General features: G+C 37.4%; 1 protein-coding gene across 1 annotated transcript in view, besides 1 other annotated feature; it reads right to left on the bottom strand.

Annotated features, from left to right (window-relative positions):
* Window positions 1-16,382, bottom strand: part of UTRN (utrophin) — a 567,700-nt gene that overhangs the window by 419,993 nt on the left and 131,325 nt on the right. The window contains exons 4-9 of the mRNA NM_007124.3: window positions 11,072-11,164; window positions 9,416-9,493; window positions 8,964-9,056; window positions 6,583-6,755; window positions 4,149-4,264; window positions 3,301-3,461 (exon numbers count right to left, since the gene is read on the bottom strand). Coding sequence (NP_009055.2) covers window positions 3,301-3,461; window positions 4,149-4,264; window positions 6,583-6,755; window positions 8,964-9,056; window positions 9,416-9,493; window positions 11,072-11,164 — 714 coding nt within the window. The remainder of the gene's footprint in view (window positions 1-3,300; window positions 3,462-4,148; window positions 4,265-6,582; window positions 6,756-8,963; window positions 9,057-9,415; window positions 9,494-11,071; window positions 11,165-16,382) is intronic.
* Window positions 9,250-9,419: an enhancer, noted in NCBI's record as "experimental_90731 CRE fragment used in MPRA reporter constructs". NCBI's record gives its function as "activates a minimal promoter by MPRAs in K562 erythroleukemia cells, with activity observed for the non-introgressed 6:144744844 variant allele {active_cell/tissue: K562}" and the evidence as "EXISTENCE:reporter gene assay evidence [ECO:0000049][PMID:34662402]".

The raw sequence follows: 16,382 nt of genomic DNA, 5'->3' as shown, positions 1-16,382 counted from the left end.
AATTCTTCTGCCTTGGGATCCTGTTGATCTGTGACCTTGCCCCCAACCCTGTGCTCTCTGAAACATGTGCTGTGTCCACTCAGGGTTAAATGGATTAAGGGCGGTGCAAGATGTGCTTTGTTAAACAGATGCTAGAAGGCAGCATGCTCGTTAAGAGTCATCACCACTCCCTAATCTCAAGGACCCAGGGACACAAACACTGCGGAAGGCCGCAGGGTCCTCTGCCTAGGAAAACCAGAGACCTTTGTTCACTTGTTTATCTGCTGACCTTCCCTCCACTATTGTCCTGTGACCCTGCCAAATCCCCCTCTGCGAGAAACACCCAAGAATGATCAATAAAAAATATATATTAAAAAAAAAAAAGACTTATCTCAAATCCATCCAGACCTTTCCATTTCCACAACCACACACATCCATCTTCTGAACTGGAATACCTGCTAACAAGTGTCTTTACTTTCCTGTTTTCCCCCACCCAACACTCTCACCTTCACAATCCACAGTCCATTTCTCACACAGCAGCCAGAATGATCTTTCAAAAATGTAATGCCATCATAAGACGTACCTGCTGAAAACCTTTCACTGGCTTTCCCAATGCTCTTAAGATACAATTTAAAATTCTTAACACAGTTTACAAAAATACTGTGATAGTAAGAAACCAAGATAGAGTGACAGAAAGAGAGAGAGAGACAGAGAGTTGTATTTTGATAGATTAATCAGAAAAGACTTCTCTGAAAAGGCTCCATTTAAACTGAGGAAAAATGTGCAGGCTGCCATATAATGGTGGGTGCAGAAGCATTTAACAGAGGGGAACCTGCATGAACAAGAGTCTTGGGGGAAAAGTCCACTCTAACTGCAGGGCAGAGTAGCAGAGGTAGGCCACAGCTTGTAAACTATAGGAGAAAATGAAGTCTTTAAATAGCATTAGGAGATATACCTAATGCTAAAGGACGAGTTAATGGGTGCAGCACACCACCCGTGGCACATGTATACATATGTAACAAACCTTCATGTTGTGCACATGTACCCTAAAACTTAAAGTATAATACTAAAAAAATAAAATAAAAATGAGTATGAAGGCTGCAATAAAATGAAAACACACACAAAAGACATTTTGGAGGAAGGCTTGAAGAATCCAGGAAACTGAATATATGAGTTAAGAAATGAACCAATCAGCACAGAGTCGAAACAGTGGATAATTAAAAGACAGATGGTGCCAAAGACAGAGAAAGAAAAATGAGTTAAGTTATGGACAAAAAATCCTAAAACTGTAGAGCTAAAATAACCCCTGGAGATCATTTAGCTCCAAACCTCTATACTATAATGAGAATTTCTAAGAACCAGGAAAGTTAGTGACCAGCCAAAGGTCACTGAGATAGGCACCAGCATCCATGAGGTCGAGAAGGAAGGCACTATCTAAACACAAATGTTCAGACGGTATTAATTCGAACACATGAGGAAACTTTCAACTGACGGATATTTAAAGAGAAATGCAGGAATTATTCATTGACCACCAGCGTATGTTTGTAGAAAGAACAGGGCAGAAGAAGTCTGACTATTAGGAGAGTAGCAGATGGCAAGCTATGTCAGAGAGATGATTAAAACTTGATCACATTTTAGTTTTCAATTAACGTAATTCAGCCTCTAAGACACTAATGAAAGCTTGCAAATGAAGAGGTGTTAATACACTTGCACTTAATCAAATAGCAAATGTTTTCTGAAGTTCTTATCATGCCACGCTGAGCCCTAAACAGAAGTGATTATTTTATCTACACATCATGAAAAGTAAATGAAGTCTCCTTCCTTTTTAAGAGAGAAGGCCCTTAACTATAAGAACTAAATAAAATATCTCCTCCTTCTAACAAAATGCAATAAGGAAATGAATCTAAAACCCTGTAACAAACTCAGAAGATCATCTGAGCCAACTAAAAAGGTGCATCATTAATGTAGAATAATAACTATACTTTTAGAGGCAAATACTTCCTAGCATTTTTTTCAATTATAGTAAGTTAGGAATTTTCCTCAGCATCATTTGATATTCACTACAAAAGAGAGCCCTGGGTTCACAATCAGGCCTCATTTCTCAATCCTTTCTTTTCAGTAAATTTTTTTCTTTTTCTATAAATCACACTATTTTTGAAACGGGGGAAATAAAAGGATGGGTACATATTACCCAAAGAAAATTTAAAAGAATAAGTAAATTCTCTGAATCTCAGAGGATGGAAAAAAAAGATGCTATGTCAATTCAAGACTAGTATCATAATATGGGAATTAAATAATATTTTTTAAAGAAATCTGTTAAATGAGAATGCCAAAACAAATCAAGAAGAAAAATGATAATAATGATAGCTGTTGCTTGTTGAGTGTTTATTAATGTCATTTTAGATACTTTGAATTCATTATCTTTATGAAGTTGGTGGTTTTAACCACATTTTGCAGACAAAACTGTGATTGAGAGTTTAAGTAACAACCCAAAACAAGTAGCAACAGGATGAATTTAAGGTCCATCCAGAGAAGCTTTCTTTCTCTCTGAAATGTAGTTCTTATAATTTTGAAATCTACATGTATGTCTTGGTTGCTTGGTCACTAGAATGTTGAACCAAGTGACTTCTAAGGTCCAATTCTTAAGATTCTCTCATCTTATGAATTACAAGGACTGGCTAGACTAAAACAGAATGAGATTAAATATGGATTGATTCAAACAGTAGAACTAAGGAAGAAAATAAATTATGATTTTATTTCTCTCTTTAAAAATTCATTTATATCCTGATGAATGAAATCATCGTAATCCCTTCATGAAAAGCTCACCAAGTAGTTTACCATACATTACTCCTCCTAAAGGAAAGGGAAAATAAGGCTTACATTTTGATAGCCCTTGTGAGATATATAATGGAAAAAAAATCTTTTCTCAATGGCAAAAAAAGAAAGACAATTAGTACTTAGAAAAAAAACTAGGCTGATATGAGAAAAACCATCTTTAGCACATGACAGAAATAAAAGCTGGCAACCAGATGATGTGAAAACATAGATTCCCAGCATGTCATGCAGCAGCATGAGCAACAGCCCAGTTTTGCTGGGTGAAATAAAGTATTTTCCTTCTTAATAAAGTCCATTGAGTTATGGTGTTCTATTACACACATGTGACAGAATGCTAACTGCTAAGCTGAACTTCTTATGCAAATGTAAGCTGAGAAACCAAGATGTTCTCAGTCAAGAAAAAAACCCTCTAAAAGTGTTTTTATCTAGTACCTAGGAGAAAACAAATACGGCAAGCCAAACATCTTAATAAAATGTTACCTGTACCTGTATATTAATTGCCTCTTCTTCACATTCTTTTTTATATTTCCTTGGGAGTGTCTCTACCTCACGGATGGCGTCTATGGTGACTTGCTGAGGTAGCACCTCAAACAAAGATGTTAAATACATAATTATGGATTTCTTGTCAGGAAGCTGAACGGCAACATCTAAAAGTGGAAGAATATAAGAACCAGCTTAAATTAGGTGTCCAAAATATGTGAATTGCTCAATATTAGATATAAAATAACTCTCCTTAGTACCCATAAACAATACCTAATATATAATCTTTGCAATACCAGTAAATTGCCACTTCATAATATATGAGACAAAGGCAAAAGGGATTACTTATTTTTGTTCAGTATCTCATTTTTTAAAGTCTTCCCTAAAAGCCTCCCCAAAATGGTCAAAGATAAGCTACCATATGTTACCATTTAAGATAAAGATACAGACTTTATTCATACTATGAAAATAAGTCTAGAATTCAATCCTGCAACATTTATAACTAAAGTCTTTACATCACATGCAAGATGCTCACATAAAAATGCATTTTATTGGACTAACCAGATACTGAATTTATCTAATAATTACATTTTCTTAAAACTTTAACTCTTACTTAATTTAGATTAACTATTGTCCAGTGCTGTAGTTAAATTTCTACCTAAAAGATCCCACAAACTGCTAAGTACAAAAGTATTAATAAGTGTCAGTAATAAAATGACTCGCACCTATACTCCAAAAAGGAAAAGGTTCTTCAAGTCTCATAATTCATTTTTAAAAGGACAAAGAAACACTGCTTTTCAAGAATGCAAAACTGTAAAGCAAAATCAAGGTGGAAATTAAATACTGGACAATACCTTCAGGATCTAACAGCTTTTCAATTCCCAAATAAGTTTGAGCCTTGCTGAAGGCATGTTCAAGTCTCTCAATTGGTGACATTTTGACAACTTTATCCCAGCTGAAGAGATCAGGTCTGAAAACCATGCAAATAAAATGCAATGAAGATGAAATATGTGGAAACAAAGTAGGCATTGTTATAATCTAATACATTTTAGTTTTAGATTATTTTTATTTGTGAGGTTTTTTTGAGTTTATTTTTATATCCCAAAGGCTTGTCAAATACATACTTGAAATTAATTCACAAATATGAAAATAACAGATAATACTTTCCAAGGGTCTTGTATTAGCTAAATAGGACTGCTATTTTCTGTGGTAACCATTAAGACTAGAAGTAGTATATAATGTTTCCCAAAGAGTAGAAGAAGAAAAGGGGGTAAAGGGAAACCTACCGATACAAAAAGAGATAAGAAAGTAAAAAAAAAAAAAACCACAGAAAAAATAAGAAAAATGAGCAGCTCACACTATGCGGTAAAAATGAACCTAAATATATAAATAATCATAATCAATGTTAATGGACTAAATTCTTCAATTAAAAGATCAAGATTAGCAGAACACAAAATCTAGCTCTAATCTGTTCTCAGGATATTCCTAAAACAAAAGCCTTGGAAGAGTTTCCCTCCAATCCCCTGCTTCCATGCTACTACTATATTGTCTAGGACTGTATTTCATTTCTATCTTGATTTTCTTTTAATCTCACAAATTGGACATTATTGTTGCTTTGACTTATCCAAAAGTTAATCATTTTCTTTATTCTGTGTCTGTTCTTGCATGTTAGACCCACCCACCTTCTGGGATGCACTTCCCCCACTTCCCTCCCTGAATTCATCTCCCATTACTCCCCCCACTCAGGTCACTGCAGCCACTGCCCTCTCCGATGCCAAGTGCCTCCTCTGCTCTTGTCTGATGTATTTTCCTTCAGTGTGTGTACATTTCTATATACTACACAACTTTATTATTGTCTTGTCTCCCTCTGTTGGAACATAAGCTCCACGAGAACTAAGATTTTTGCCTGTTTTGTTCTCTGCTGTATACCCTGTGTCTAGCACATAAAAGGCACCCCACACGTATTTGTTGAATCAATTAATTAATAAATGGAATGGTATATTGGCTAAAATTCTACAGTTTCTTGATAAAATCCCTTAACCAACTAAAAACCTAGGGCAACCTCCTTTAACCTCATAAAAAGTGTACCAAAAAAGCTACAAAAACTATCATTCTTATGGTAAAACACTAAAAGCACTCCTTTTATTATCAACAACAAAAATTCTGCCCACTATCACCAATTCAAATCAACATTGCATTGAAGGACAAGGCACAATAGAGAACAAAAAAGAAAACAGAAGAAATAAAAGGATCATAATTCTAGGACATTCTAATCCCTCCTCCTCCAAGAAACCTACAATCTAGAGACAAACTTACTAAAATTTGTAAGAACTGATTAAGTTTCCAGATATAAGACGTAGAAAAGTCTATTGCACTTTTATATACCAGCAAAAAAACATAGAGGAAGTGAAATTTGAGAAAAGTAATCATTTACAACAATAAAATATAACAAATTTTGCCTTTGGCATTTAAATCCCTGATCCATGTAGAAATTATTATTTTTTTTTTAGTGTGGTGAAGTAAAGATCCAATACATTTATTTATATATGGGTAATCAATTGTCCAAATCATCTATTAATCTGCAATGTCAGCTCAAGCGTATATCAGATTTTCCTGTGTAATGGAGCAATTTCTGAGTTCTTAATTTTATTAGGTTGAACCATATGAAAACACCATTCTTATATAGCAAAAACACTCACATGTCGGCAATTTCATATGGTTCAGCTTATATTGGTGTGTATATTGATAGTACTGCATAGTCTTAATTAATATAGCTTCATAGTTTTGGTTTCTTTTTGGAAAGTATTTCAGCCTGATTCTTCCTCAGAAGTCTACTGGCTATTCTTGGGCCTCGTCTTTTATATAATTAGAATCTGTTCACAAGTTTCATTAAAGACAATTTGGCTATTTTTAATTGGGAATGCATTGAATTTACAGAGTTTTACTTTCAGTTTGAGAAGAAAAGCTAACACAATTTTTTGTATACATTATCAGTTAGTGCTGAATGAGTGGGGTTGAACTTTGTGAATTATTTCATATTTTTTAAATTCATAAATATGCAGGAGAAACTATGGACCTTGTATTGCAGCATTTAAGTCCTAAGGAAATAAAAACCTGATGGGTAGTTTTCTTCCATGATATTTCTTTTCTTAAGGTTTTGGTAGAACATGTGCAGAAAGGAGAGCAGTGGCACTGGAGAAGGGGCTTCAGGGAGTAGTGGTGGCAGCAAAGGGACAGAGAGGAGACATGAATTTGTAAAGCCCACTTCTAGATAGAGTAATGTCTCACTTATGTCGGTGGAGGACAGCATTAAAGGCGAGTCCATCTGTCCAGCTGGTGGTGAAGTTGAGGACGTTGACTTGGCTGTAGGGCCTGGTGGTCTGACGCACCCAGCTGAGCAGGATCTTCTCACTGTTCGTCTGCTGCAGGTCCGACATGACATCCTTCATGACATCTTTCACCTATGTAAGAGAAACCAGGCCTGTCCATAACTAATACTTCAGTAATTTACTTCAACTTACTTCAATGAAGTCCTTGAAAAAGCAATATTGCACTAATTAACCATTATGGATCAGGTAACTGGCATTCATTTTACTTCAGATTTTTCTGTAGACACTAGAGCAATACATTTTAACAGTGATTATTTTGGGGGACTAGAATTTGAGGTGATTTTTACCTCACTTTTATACATTACTGTGTTTTCTATATCTTAAGCAATACTTGTACTATGTTTGGTTACAATGAACATAACTTTCACAGTCATAGAAAGTCATATTTAACTCTATGTGTTTACAAAGACCTTTTCAATTAAATTTTATTTTCTACAAAAATGAGAAAGGAAAAACTTTTGAGTGACTACAAAATAAAGTATCTTTCCTGACTGCAATCACGATTATACTCTAGAACTAACATTTTATAGTATTATTCTAAATTAGTAAATATGTTTTAAGAAAGTGCTCAAAGAATGACATAGATCTATCTAAGGGACACAGGAGCCAATTTAAGGGGCTCACACTGGCCAAATCTAGGATGACTTGAACACTGAAATGAGTACTAGTAAAAGATCATAAACCTATGCAAATGTCCATGAATCTATACTGATACATAAATGAATAAATGAATGGAGAGAGAGATAAGATAGAGAAACAAGAAACAAGGGGAAGCTCTTCTTTACAAGTAGAACACCAACTAATGTAGAAGGATTAATGAAATTAGAAAATCATTATCTATCAAGCATCATAATAATAGCTGGTCCAGGCAAAAATTATGAACGGGTGCTAAAAGTTTGATAAAAACTAAATATTTATACAGTCTCAAAGTATATCCCCACCCGATACTTTTAATAACAAAGGGTAGTCAATTTACAGGGAAGAAACTTGGTAAATACCACCTTAGCCAAACAATCAAAGTTAACACTGCCAGAAAAAGAACAGATATCACCTATCCCCGATATGATGCACTAAGAAGAACTCACGTCACTTTTGTGACGTCCCTGCCAAAAGTGAACAACCTGAACTTAATCATAAGGAAAGCTCAGCCAAGCCCAAGCCCACTGAGAGAGACATTCTACAAAATAACTAGCCAGCACTCTTCAAAAATATCAATATCATGAAATACAAAGACTCAAAAACTTCCAGATTAAAGAGGACTAAAGAGACATGAAAAATAAATGTAATGCATGATCTCAGATTTTCTTTTGCTACTAAGGATATTATTGGGACAACTGACAAAATCTTAAGATCTGTAGATTACATAATTGTATTATTTCAATGTTATTTTCTTGATTTTAATAATTATATACTAAGTTTTCATATTTAATAATCAATAATTGGCATTTTAAATATCAATATTTTACATCTCATATTATTATACCAATATGCTATTGTGTTTACATAAGAGAGTTCTTGTTTTTAGGAGAATGCCATGGCGTTAGAAAATACACACTAAATATTTTAGGCAGACTGAGAGAGAGTACAAATGAAATATAGACAACTGGTAACATTTAGGAAATGTGAGTGAAAGGTACTTGGGAATTCTTTGAACTATTCCTGCAACTTTTCTAGATGTGAAATTATGTCCCTTTTTAAAATTTAACATAAGAAAGGTAGGTACTTTTTTCCCTATGCCAGGAAAATAGGGCATTTTGTCAGCCTCTTCCATTGAAAATTGTTATGAGTTGAATTATGTTCTCTAAAATTAATATGTTGAAGTCCTAACCCTCAGTACTTCAGAGAGGGGCTCTATTTGGAAATAAGGTCATTGCAGATGTCACTAGTTAGAATGAGGTCATACAGGAGTAATGTGGGCCCTAAATCCAATATGACTGATGTCCTTACAAAAAGAGGAAATTTGACAGATATGCACACAGGGAGAACACCACGTCAACACTGGAGCTATGTTATCACAGGCCAAGGAACTGCAAAAATTGCAGACAAACCACCAGAATTTGGGGGCAAGGCCTGGATCAGAGTCTCCCTCAGAGCCCTCAGGAAAAACCAACCCTGCTGATGCCTTGATCTTGGACTTCTGGCCTCCAGAACTGGGAGACAACAAATTTCTGTTGTTCAAGCCAAGCAGCTTGTGGTACTTGGTTACGGCAGCCTTAAGAAACTAAAAGACAAACAACACATTTTCCATCTCTATTAAAAAGTGATTGGAAATTTCCCCACCTGCCAGTGCAAAATGATGCTCCAAAGTAACCCCAAAGTCAGTTTGTGATTTCCATCCACAATGTCAGTTCCCCCTATATTCACTAATTCCACCTATTAAGACAAAACAAAAAACAAAAACAAAAACGCTTTTAAGACAATTTCTTCACAGAACTCCAGGTTTTTATTTTAGCACATTTGGACAGCAGTATAAGTGAGAGATAAGAGAAATTTCATTTTAGAGAATCAGGTAAGCTTAAATCTCAAAAATGTATTATTTATACTACAGATCAATACAGCCATCAGAAAAAGCACATGACTGTTTCTTCACTCACAGAAAAAGTTCAGTATTTCTCATAAGAAAAAATGTTTGCAAGAATCAGTGGATGCCAATGCATCAAGCAGTTGGTGAGTTTCACAATAAATAATGCTGATGGCAGCACAGACCCCCAGAACTCACATTACACACTTACATTGTTCTGATGTAAAACCTGCAGCACTCTGTTGACGTTATTTAAGGCATGTACCCTTGTGGAACCACGTTCCTTTGGCTGGAAAATAAAACAAAAAAGCAAGTAAAACTGATTGTCCCTCCATATGCCTGACTAACACTAGCACTGAGATACACACAGAAGTGAAGCTCAGCGTACAGGGCCCCTCAGAGGCAGGAGATCTGGCTGAGGTCTCAGGTTACCACCCTGGAAGCTGGTGTTCACAGTATGAAAATCCCTCAACTAACAACATCTTAAGATACCAGTTCCCTAACTTGCATGCACGTTGAAATCTCCTAGGCAGCTTCATAAAAACACCAATACCTCTGTCCAACCCCACCCCCAAAGAGTGTGGCTTAATGGGTCTAGGGTGTGGTCTGGACTTGGGATTTTTAAAAGATTGCCTGTAGTTCTAATGTGCAGACAAGTTTGGAAACCAGTGCTCTATGAACAAAGCTTCCTTTCTCTTAATTGGTCTGGCTGCAGAAGGATTTTAGAGAAATTGTGTCCTCTTTATTCTGCACAGATGTGAACAGAGCAAGGAGGATTCAGAGGCACCATCCCAGGCTCCAGGTAGCATTGCAAGAGCCCTCGGAAGGCAGGGAATTCCCATCTGGGGAAAGATAACCTATGCAGCTTCTTTCTACTTCACTGGCCAGAACCTTATCTGAGAGAGGAATCAGCCTGTCTAACAGTTGTCTACCCACTACCTGGAGGGCAAAGAGAGAGAATGACATCCCACACTTCTGCAAGAAAGAAATTCATCTTCAGGAGTGCATCTCTCTGTACTGTGATAGTAATTCTACCTCTAGAGTTAACATTTGTACCCATACATGCATCCTCTTTATTGGCAGTTTTATCTGCATGAGTTTGGAGTACCCCACACATAAAATAATAGAGTTGTATTTAAAAAATAAATCAACAAAATATAATCCTGAAAATCTGAATAAAAAATAGATGTCATAGTTTTTAACAACTTTTTTTTTTTTTTGAGACGGAGTCTCACTCTGTTGCCCAGGCTGGAGTGCAGTGGCGCAATCTCGGCTCACTGCAACCTCCACCTCCTGTGTTCAAGCAATTCTCCTGGCCTCAGCCTCCTGAGTACCTGGGATTACAGGCACATGCCGCCACACCCAGCTAATTTTTTGTATTTTAGTAGAGATGGGGTTTCACCATGTTGCTCAGGCTGGTCTCGAACTGCTGAGCTCAGGCAATCCGCCCACCTTGGCTTCCCAAAGTGCTAGGATTACAGGCGTGAGCTACCGCGCCCAGCCTTAACAACTGTTTTAAAAAATATTTAACTCTTAAATGTGTTTGTCTCCAGACTCTACTGTTCAAAACATTGTGTCCTCTCTATAAATCCATTCTTTTTTGTAATTCTCTCATCCTGGGCTGTCTCAGAGCAATAAACATTTAAGGTAATTTTATCTTCAATAAAAACAGAGCCCTCAGAAGAGCCAAAATGTTGTTGTATCAAAGCACTCATTAAAATGCTTTGTTAAAAATGTTCCGAATTTCAGCCTTTACATTTGAACGTAAAGTAAAATGGATACTTTCACTTTAATGGGTACCCACACTGGGTCATCAAGTATCAGCAATGACCGGAGACTCCGTTGTTTACAAAGATGACTTGCTCACCAGTGATGTTCCTGTGAGGCCTTCTAGAAGATCCAATAGCTTCCTTCCATCTTTGAGGTCTGTGAACATATCATTGATGGGTGGTTTCCCACTCTGTAAAAGAAAAACACAAATAAAATATGGGGTATGCCAACAGCAGAAACTCCATATATACCTGGGCAAATAAATGAGTGGCTTCATTTTTTGCTCAATTAAAATGTTGTGGATGATCTGCAGACTATCCAAATTTGTCTTTTGGGGGTTTTTATTTATTTATTTATTTTAATTAATTAATTTTTTTTTTAGACAGAGTCTCACTCTGTCGCCCAGGCTGGAGTGCAGTGGAGTGATCTCAGCTCACTGCAACCTCCGCCTCCAGGGTTCACGCCATTCTCCTGCCTCAGCCTCCCGAGTAGCTGGGACTACAGGCGCCCGCCACCACGCCCAGCTAATTTTTTATATTTTTAGTAGAGATGGGGTTTCACCATGTTAGCCAGGATGGTCTCGATCTCCTGACCTCATGATCCGCCCACCTCGGCCTCCCAAAGTGCTGGGATTACAGGCGTGAGCCACTGCACCCGGCCCAAATTTGTCTTTTATAGAAAGAACAAGTACAAATACAGAAATTTTTAAATCCCATAAAGAATATTTTAAGCTGAAATAAATTGCATTTTTCCTTACAAAGAAAGCAAATCAAGCTGTTGGGCATCGTGGTTCATGCCTGTAATTCCAGCACTTGGGAGGCCGAGGCAAGCTCAGAAGTTTGAGACCAGCCTGGCCAATATGGTGAAACCTCATCTCTAGTAAAAATACAAAAATTAGCCGGGCATGGCGGTAGGCACCTGCAATCCCAACTACTCGGGAGGCTGAGGCAGGAGAGTTGCTTGAACCCAGGAGGTGAAGGTTGCAGTGAGCCAAGATCGTGCCACTGCACTCCAGCCTGGGCAACATGGCAAGACTCCATCTCAAAAAACAAAAACACTACAAAGTCTGGACATAATTTCACACAAATATACAGTAAAGTGGAAGAAAGAACAATAAACGACAAAATAATAGGCCTTGAGTATGGCATATGTTCCTGAGAAAGCAATGATAACGAGACGCATTAAAAATGTAAATGAGCCTACAACATCCGGGTGCAGAGGCCAACTAAAAGTATAAGGACTGTCACTTCATCACTGCGTCTCACATCACAGTGTGACAATGTCTTCCAGCCTTTCCATTATGGGAGTACGTGATTTGGTCATCAATTTCAGGGCTGAGGTGTTCAGTCTGTATTTCTGGTTATTAATTTCTTAACACTTAAGGCACTTTGGGCTTAACAATTAAATACTTTTTGTGCTTAAAACTAGTACCAGTCCAAGATTTTAACTGACAAAGCTTATAGAATTTCTAAACTCTTTTTCCTGATAAATAGCATCAACTCCCACAGATAATCCTGCTCTAGTGTCTGATGCCAGAAAATCCCACTCCATTCACTGTAAGTTTGGTAGATCCTTGCCTGTCTGTGATACAATGAATTATTATGCAATGGGGTGATCACCGCATAGAAAATCAGGAAGCCTCGGCTTTAAGTCCAGTTTGACCTTTAACTACCTGGTGAACCTGGCTCAGCTACCTAACCTTTTAAATCAAAAGTCACTGTAAAGATCAAATAATAGAATATTATAAGAAAATGCCCTGAGAACTACAGAATACAATGTAATATTTAATAAATGTTGTATTATCTTGTATCGAATTACTGCCTTATATAATAAAATCTCCACAGAGATGAACAGTCCCACTTCCTGTCAATAATAGATATTTTTTAACCAATACTTCTTTTATCTTCTTCATTTCTCACTTTAAAAAATATATACATATCATTCATATGAAGCAAAACTTTACTCTGAGTTTGAAATGGAGGAGGGGGAAGAAGGAGCCATTCTGAAGTTTCCTAAAATTTGGCATTATTCCTTCCTTCCTTCCCTCGTGATTCCTTATCTGTTTTTATTGTGTGTGTGTGTGTGTGTGTGTGTCTGTGTCTGTGTGCGCACAAGTGTGTGTACCTGAAGAGACCTGAATTACAAAGATGAATAAAGATTCCATATTTCTGCACACTCAACAGCTTACCATTCAGTGGAAGTGATACTCTTTTTTAGAAAATAACAATTACAGTGCGATGTGTAAGGTCTGGAATAGAAAAGTGTGCCAGTGCTATAGAAGCACAGAGGAGAGAGAGACCCCAAGACCACTGCAAGCCAGGGAGTGGGCAAAGGCTTCAGACAGGAGCTGACCCTTGAACTAGACTTTATTTAGTTTTTTACAAGGCATAATTTAATTATCTTTTAAAACATTCAGATTCAGGGAGTTCATATGCAGGTTTGTTACATGGGTATGTTGTGTGACACTGAGGTTTGGGTCTCGAATGACCCCATTGCCCAAGTAGTGAACACAGTACCCAGTAGGTAGTTTTTCAACCCTTGTTCCCCTCCCTCTATCTGTTTTTAAACAGGTATTAGGTATAGCCAACTCATAATTTTTAGCATGTGCCTTTTTCATCATTCATATACTTCAGATGAGGGAAAGTGCAGTAAATTTTCACCACAGAATCAGTAAAGAATACACTGTTACTTATTCATATCTGAAACAAAGCTGCTTTTCTGTTCCCAGCTGCCTTTTTCACAGGCAGCGATAGATTCAGGGACAAAGAGATTTTCTCCATCAATCAAAATAACACAGAGATGTGCAAGATGCAGGGGCCACTTTCCAGAGGCAGAACTTCAGGAAGCCGGGTAAGGGGTAATTTCCCCTTGAGGGGAAAGTCCCCTGAGGACTTGCTACCCACTGTCAGTAAAAGCAATGGGCAGAAGTGGCCTTCGTCACCTGCCTACGTCTAATCCCCCTCCCCCACCCAACCAGAAGTACAATTCTGCAAAATAGCCAACAAATAACCGAATTCACTTTCAGGTCTTAGGCATAGCAAAAATATATTATATAGGTAAAGCGCATGGGAGAAACAAATGGGGTTATATAGGCATAGAAAGGATCTTAGAAAATACTGATGATGGCAAGGGCAGCTAATATAACACCTGGGCAGCCTGAAACCCTTCTCAAATCCACTCTCCACTTTCCAAAAAATAGTATAATATAAAACAACTGGCTGGGCACGGTGGCTCATGTCTGTAATCTCAGCACTTTGGGAGGCCGAGGCGAGAGGATCACTTGAGCAGGAATTCGAGACCAGCCTGGCCAATGTGGCAAAACCCCATCTCTACTAAAAATACAAAAATTGGCTGGGTGTGGTGGTGCACACCTGTAATCCCAGCTACTTGGGAGACTGAGGCAGGAAAATTGCTTGAACCCAGAGGAGATGGAGACTGCATGCCACTGCACTACAACCTAGGCAACACAGCAAGACTCTGTCTCAAAAAAACAAACAAACAAACAAACAACAACAACAAAAACAGCATTATATAAAAGAAATACAGGCCTGGCACGATGGCTCACGCCTGTAATCCCAGCACTTTAGGAGGCCGAGGCGGGCGGACCACGAGGTCAGGAGATCGAGACCATCCTGGCTAACACAGTGAAATCCCGTCTCTACTAAAAATACAAAAAAAAAAAAAAAATTAGCCGGGCGTGGTGGCGGGCGCCTGTAGTCCCAGCTACTCGGGAGGCTGAGGCAGGAGAATGGCATGAACCTGGGAGGCAGAGCTTGCAGTGAGCCAAGATCACGCCACTGCACTCCAGCCTGGGTGACAGAGCGAGACTCCATCTCAAAAAAAAAAAAAGAAATATAAATATTTATTCATATTATAAATAATTATGGATGTCCATTAATGACCTCATCTGTAAACAAGAAGCCTCTTATTGGCCATAGAATTTTGGGCAAGTTACTTGGCCTTTCTGCATCTATTTGTTTACCTGTTAAACTAAGATGACAGATGTTCATTAAATGGTTGATGTGACTATATCACAAGCATAACTTTAGTGTTTTCTATTGGCAGAAAAGTGTAATAAAATATCAACAATATCTGAAAGGACTGAGACAACAACTAAGCACTTCTTCATCTCAAGCAGGAAGGCAAAAGCAGGCCCTGAACATGAGAACATGGTAGTGTCAATTCACAGAGAAAGATCTCACAAGTCTCAGGTTTCATTAATATGTCATATGATGACCTGCAGGAACATATCTCATTCAAAAACAATTAACTACCTTTTGTTGTAAAGTGAAAGCAGCCATAGAGAATACATAAACAAATAAACCAATTGGAATGACTATCTTCCAATGAAACTTTATTTATAGACACTAAAATTTGAATTTCACATAATTCCCACATGTCACAAAATATTACTCTTCTTTTGATTTTTTTGCAACCACCTAAAGCTGTAAAAACCATTCTCAGCTCATAGGCCATACGGAAACAGGCAGTAGAAATATGAAATGTTCTTAGACATAATGATAGCAAGCATTTACTATGTATCATATGTTCTAAGAGACTTATAAAGATTTAGTTGTATTATTTAGATGTATTATTTATTTCCTTATAATAGTATTTCGAGAAAAACAGCATCATCTTCTTCATTCTACAGGCGAAGAAACTGATGTGGAGGTGACTTAACAAATGAGAGGCAGAACCAGGATCTGATACCACAAAATCTGGCTCTAAATCTATGTTTTCAACATCTGTGCTATACTGCTACTAAAATTATGAAGACACAGGACTAGGACAGATAGGGAAGAAAATATTTCATCACTGGACTGGGATATGTAGGGAAAAAAATATTTAATCACTGGAGTGGGTGGGATATATTTAGTGGCCCCCCAAAGAGAGCAACAAGATATATACTACATTTTGATGAATTCAAAATGCAGACTATTTTTTTTTCTAGTACACCACTTTAAAGCGTGTCTGGTGCTTTGGTATCACAAGCTGTAAACTTGGGATCCACTCTGTGAAACAGCTTGGAAATGTCAGAAGTCATCTATGAATAAAAATAAAAACTGATTCATCCTGACAGTTAACCTCTTATTTCAATTTTGAAATCTTTGCAAAGACTCATTTGCAGAGACTTCTCTGACAAAGAGAATACAGTTGAATAATGCATTTGGACAAATATTTAGTGAATACCTCCTTTGTGCTTGGCCCTGCAGAAATGCCAAGTTCAGGTCATTCTCCTTATTCTCAAGAGAGTTTCCATAGTTTTCCAATAAATACAAAATGGTATAAATGAACAGTCTTGAACTTGAAGGGTATATAAGCCTTGGGTCACATTTAACTTTAAAAAAAGTAAACAACCACATGACACAACTCTAGATGACAGATACTACAGCCCTGGCGTGGCCAGC

The sequence above is a fragment of the Homo sapiens genome, chromosome 6 (genome assembly GCF_000001405.40).
Source record: "Homo sapiens chromosome 6, GRCh38.p14 Primary Assembly".
NCBI classification, from domain to species: domain Eukaryota; kingdom Metazoa; phylum Chordata; class Mammalia; order Primates; family Hominidae; genus Homo; species Homo sapiens.
The sequence above is the reverse complement of the archived record's forward strand: the minus strand, read 5'-3'. Positions and strand labels throughout refer to the sequence as shown.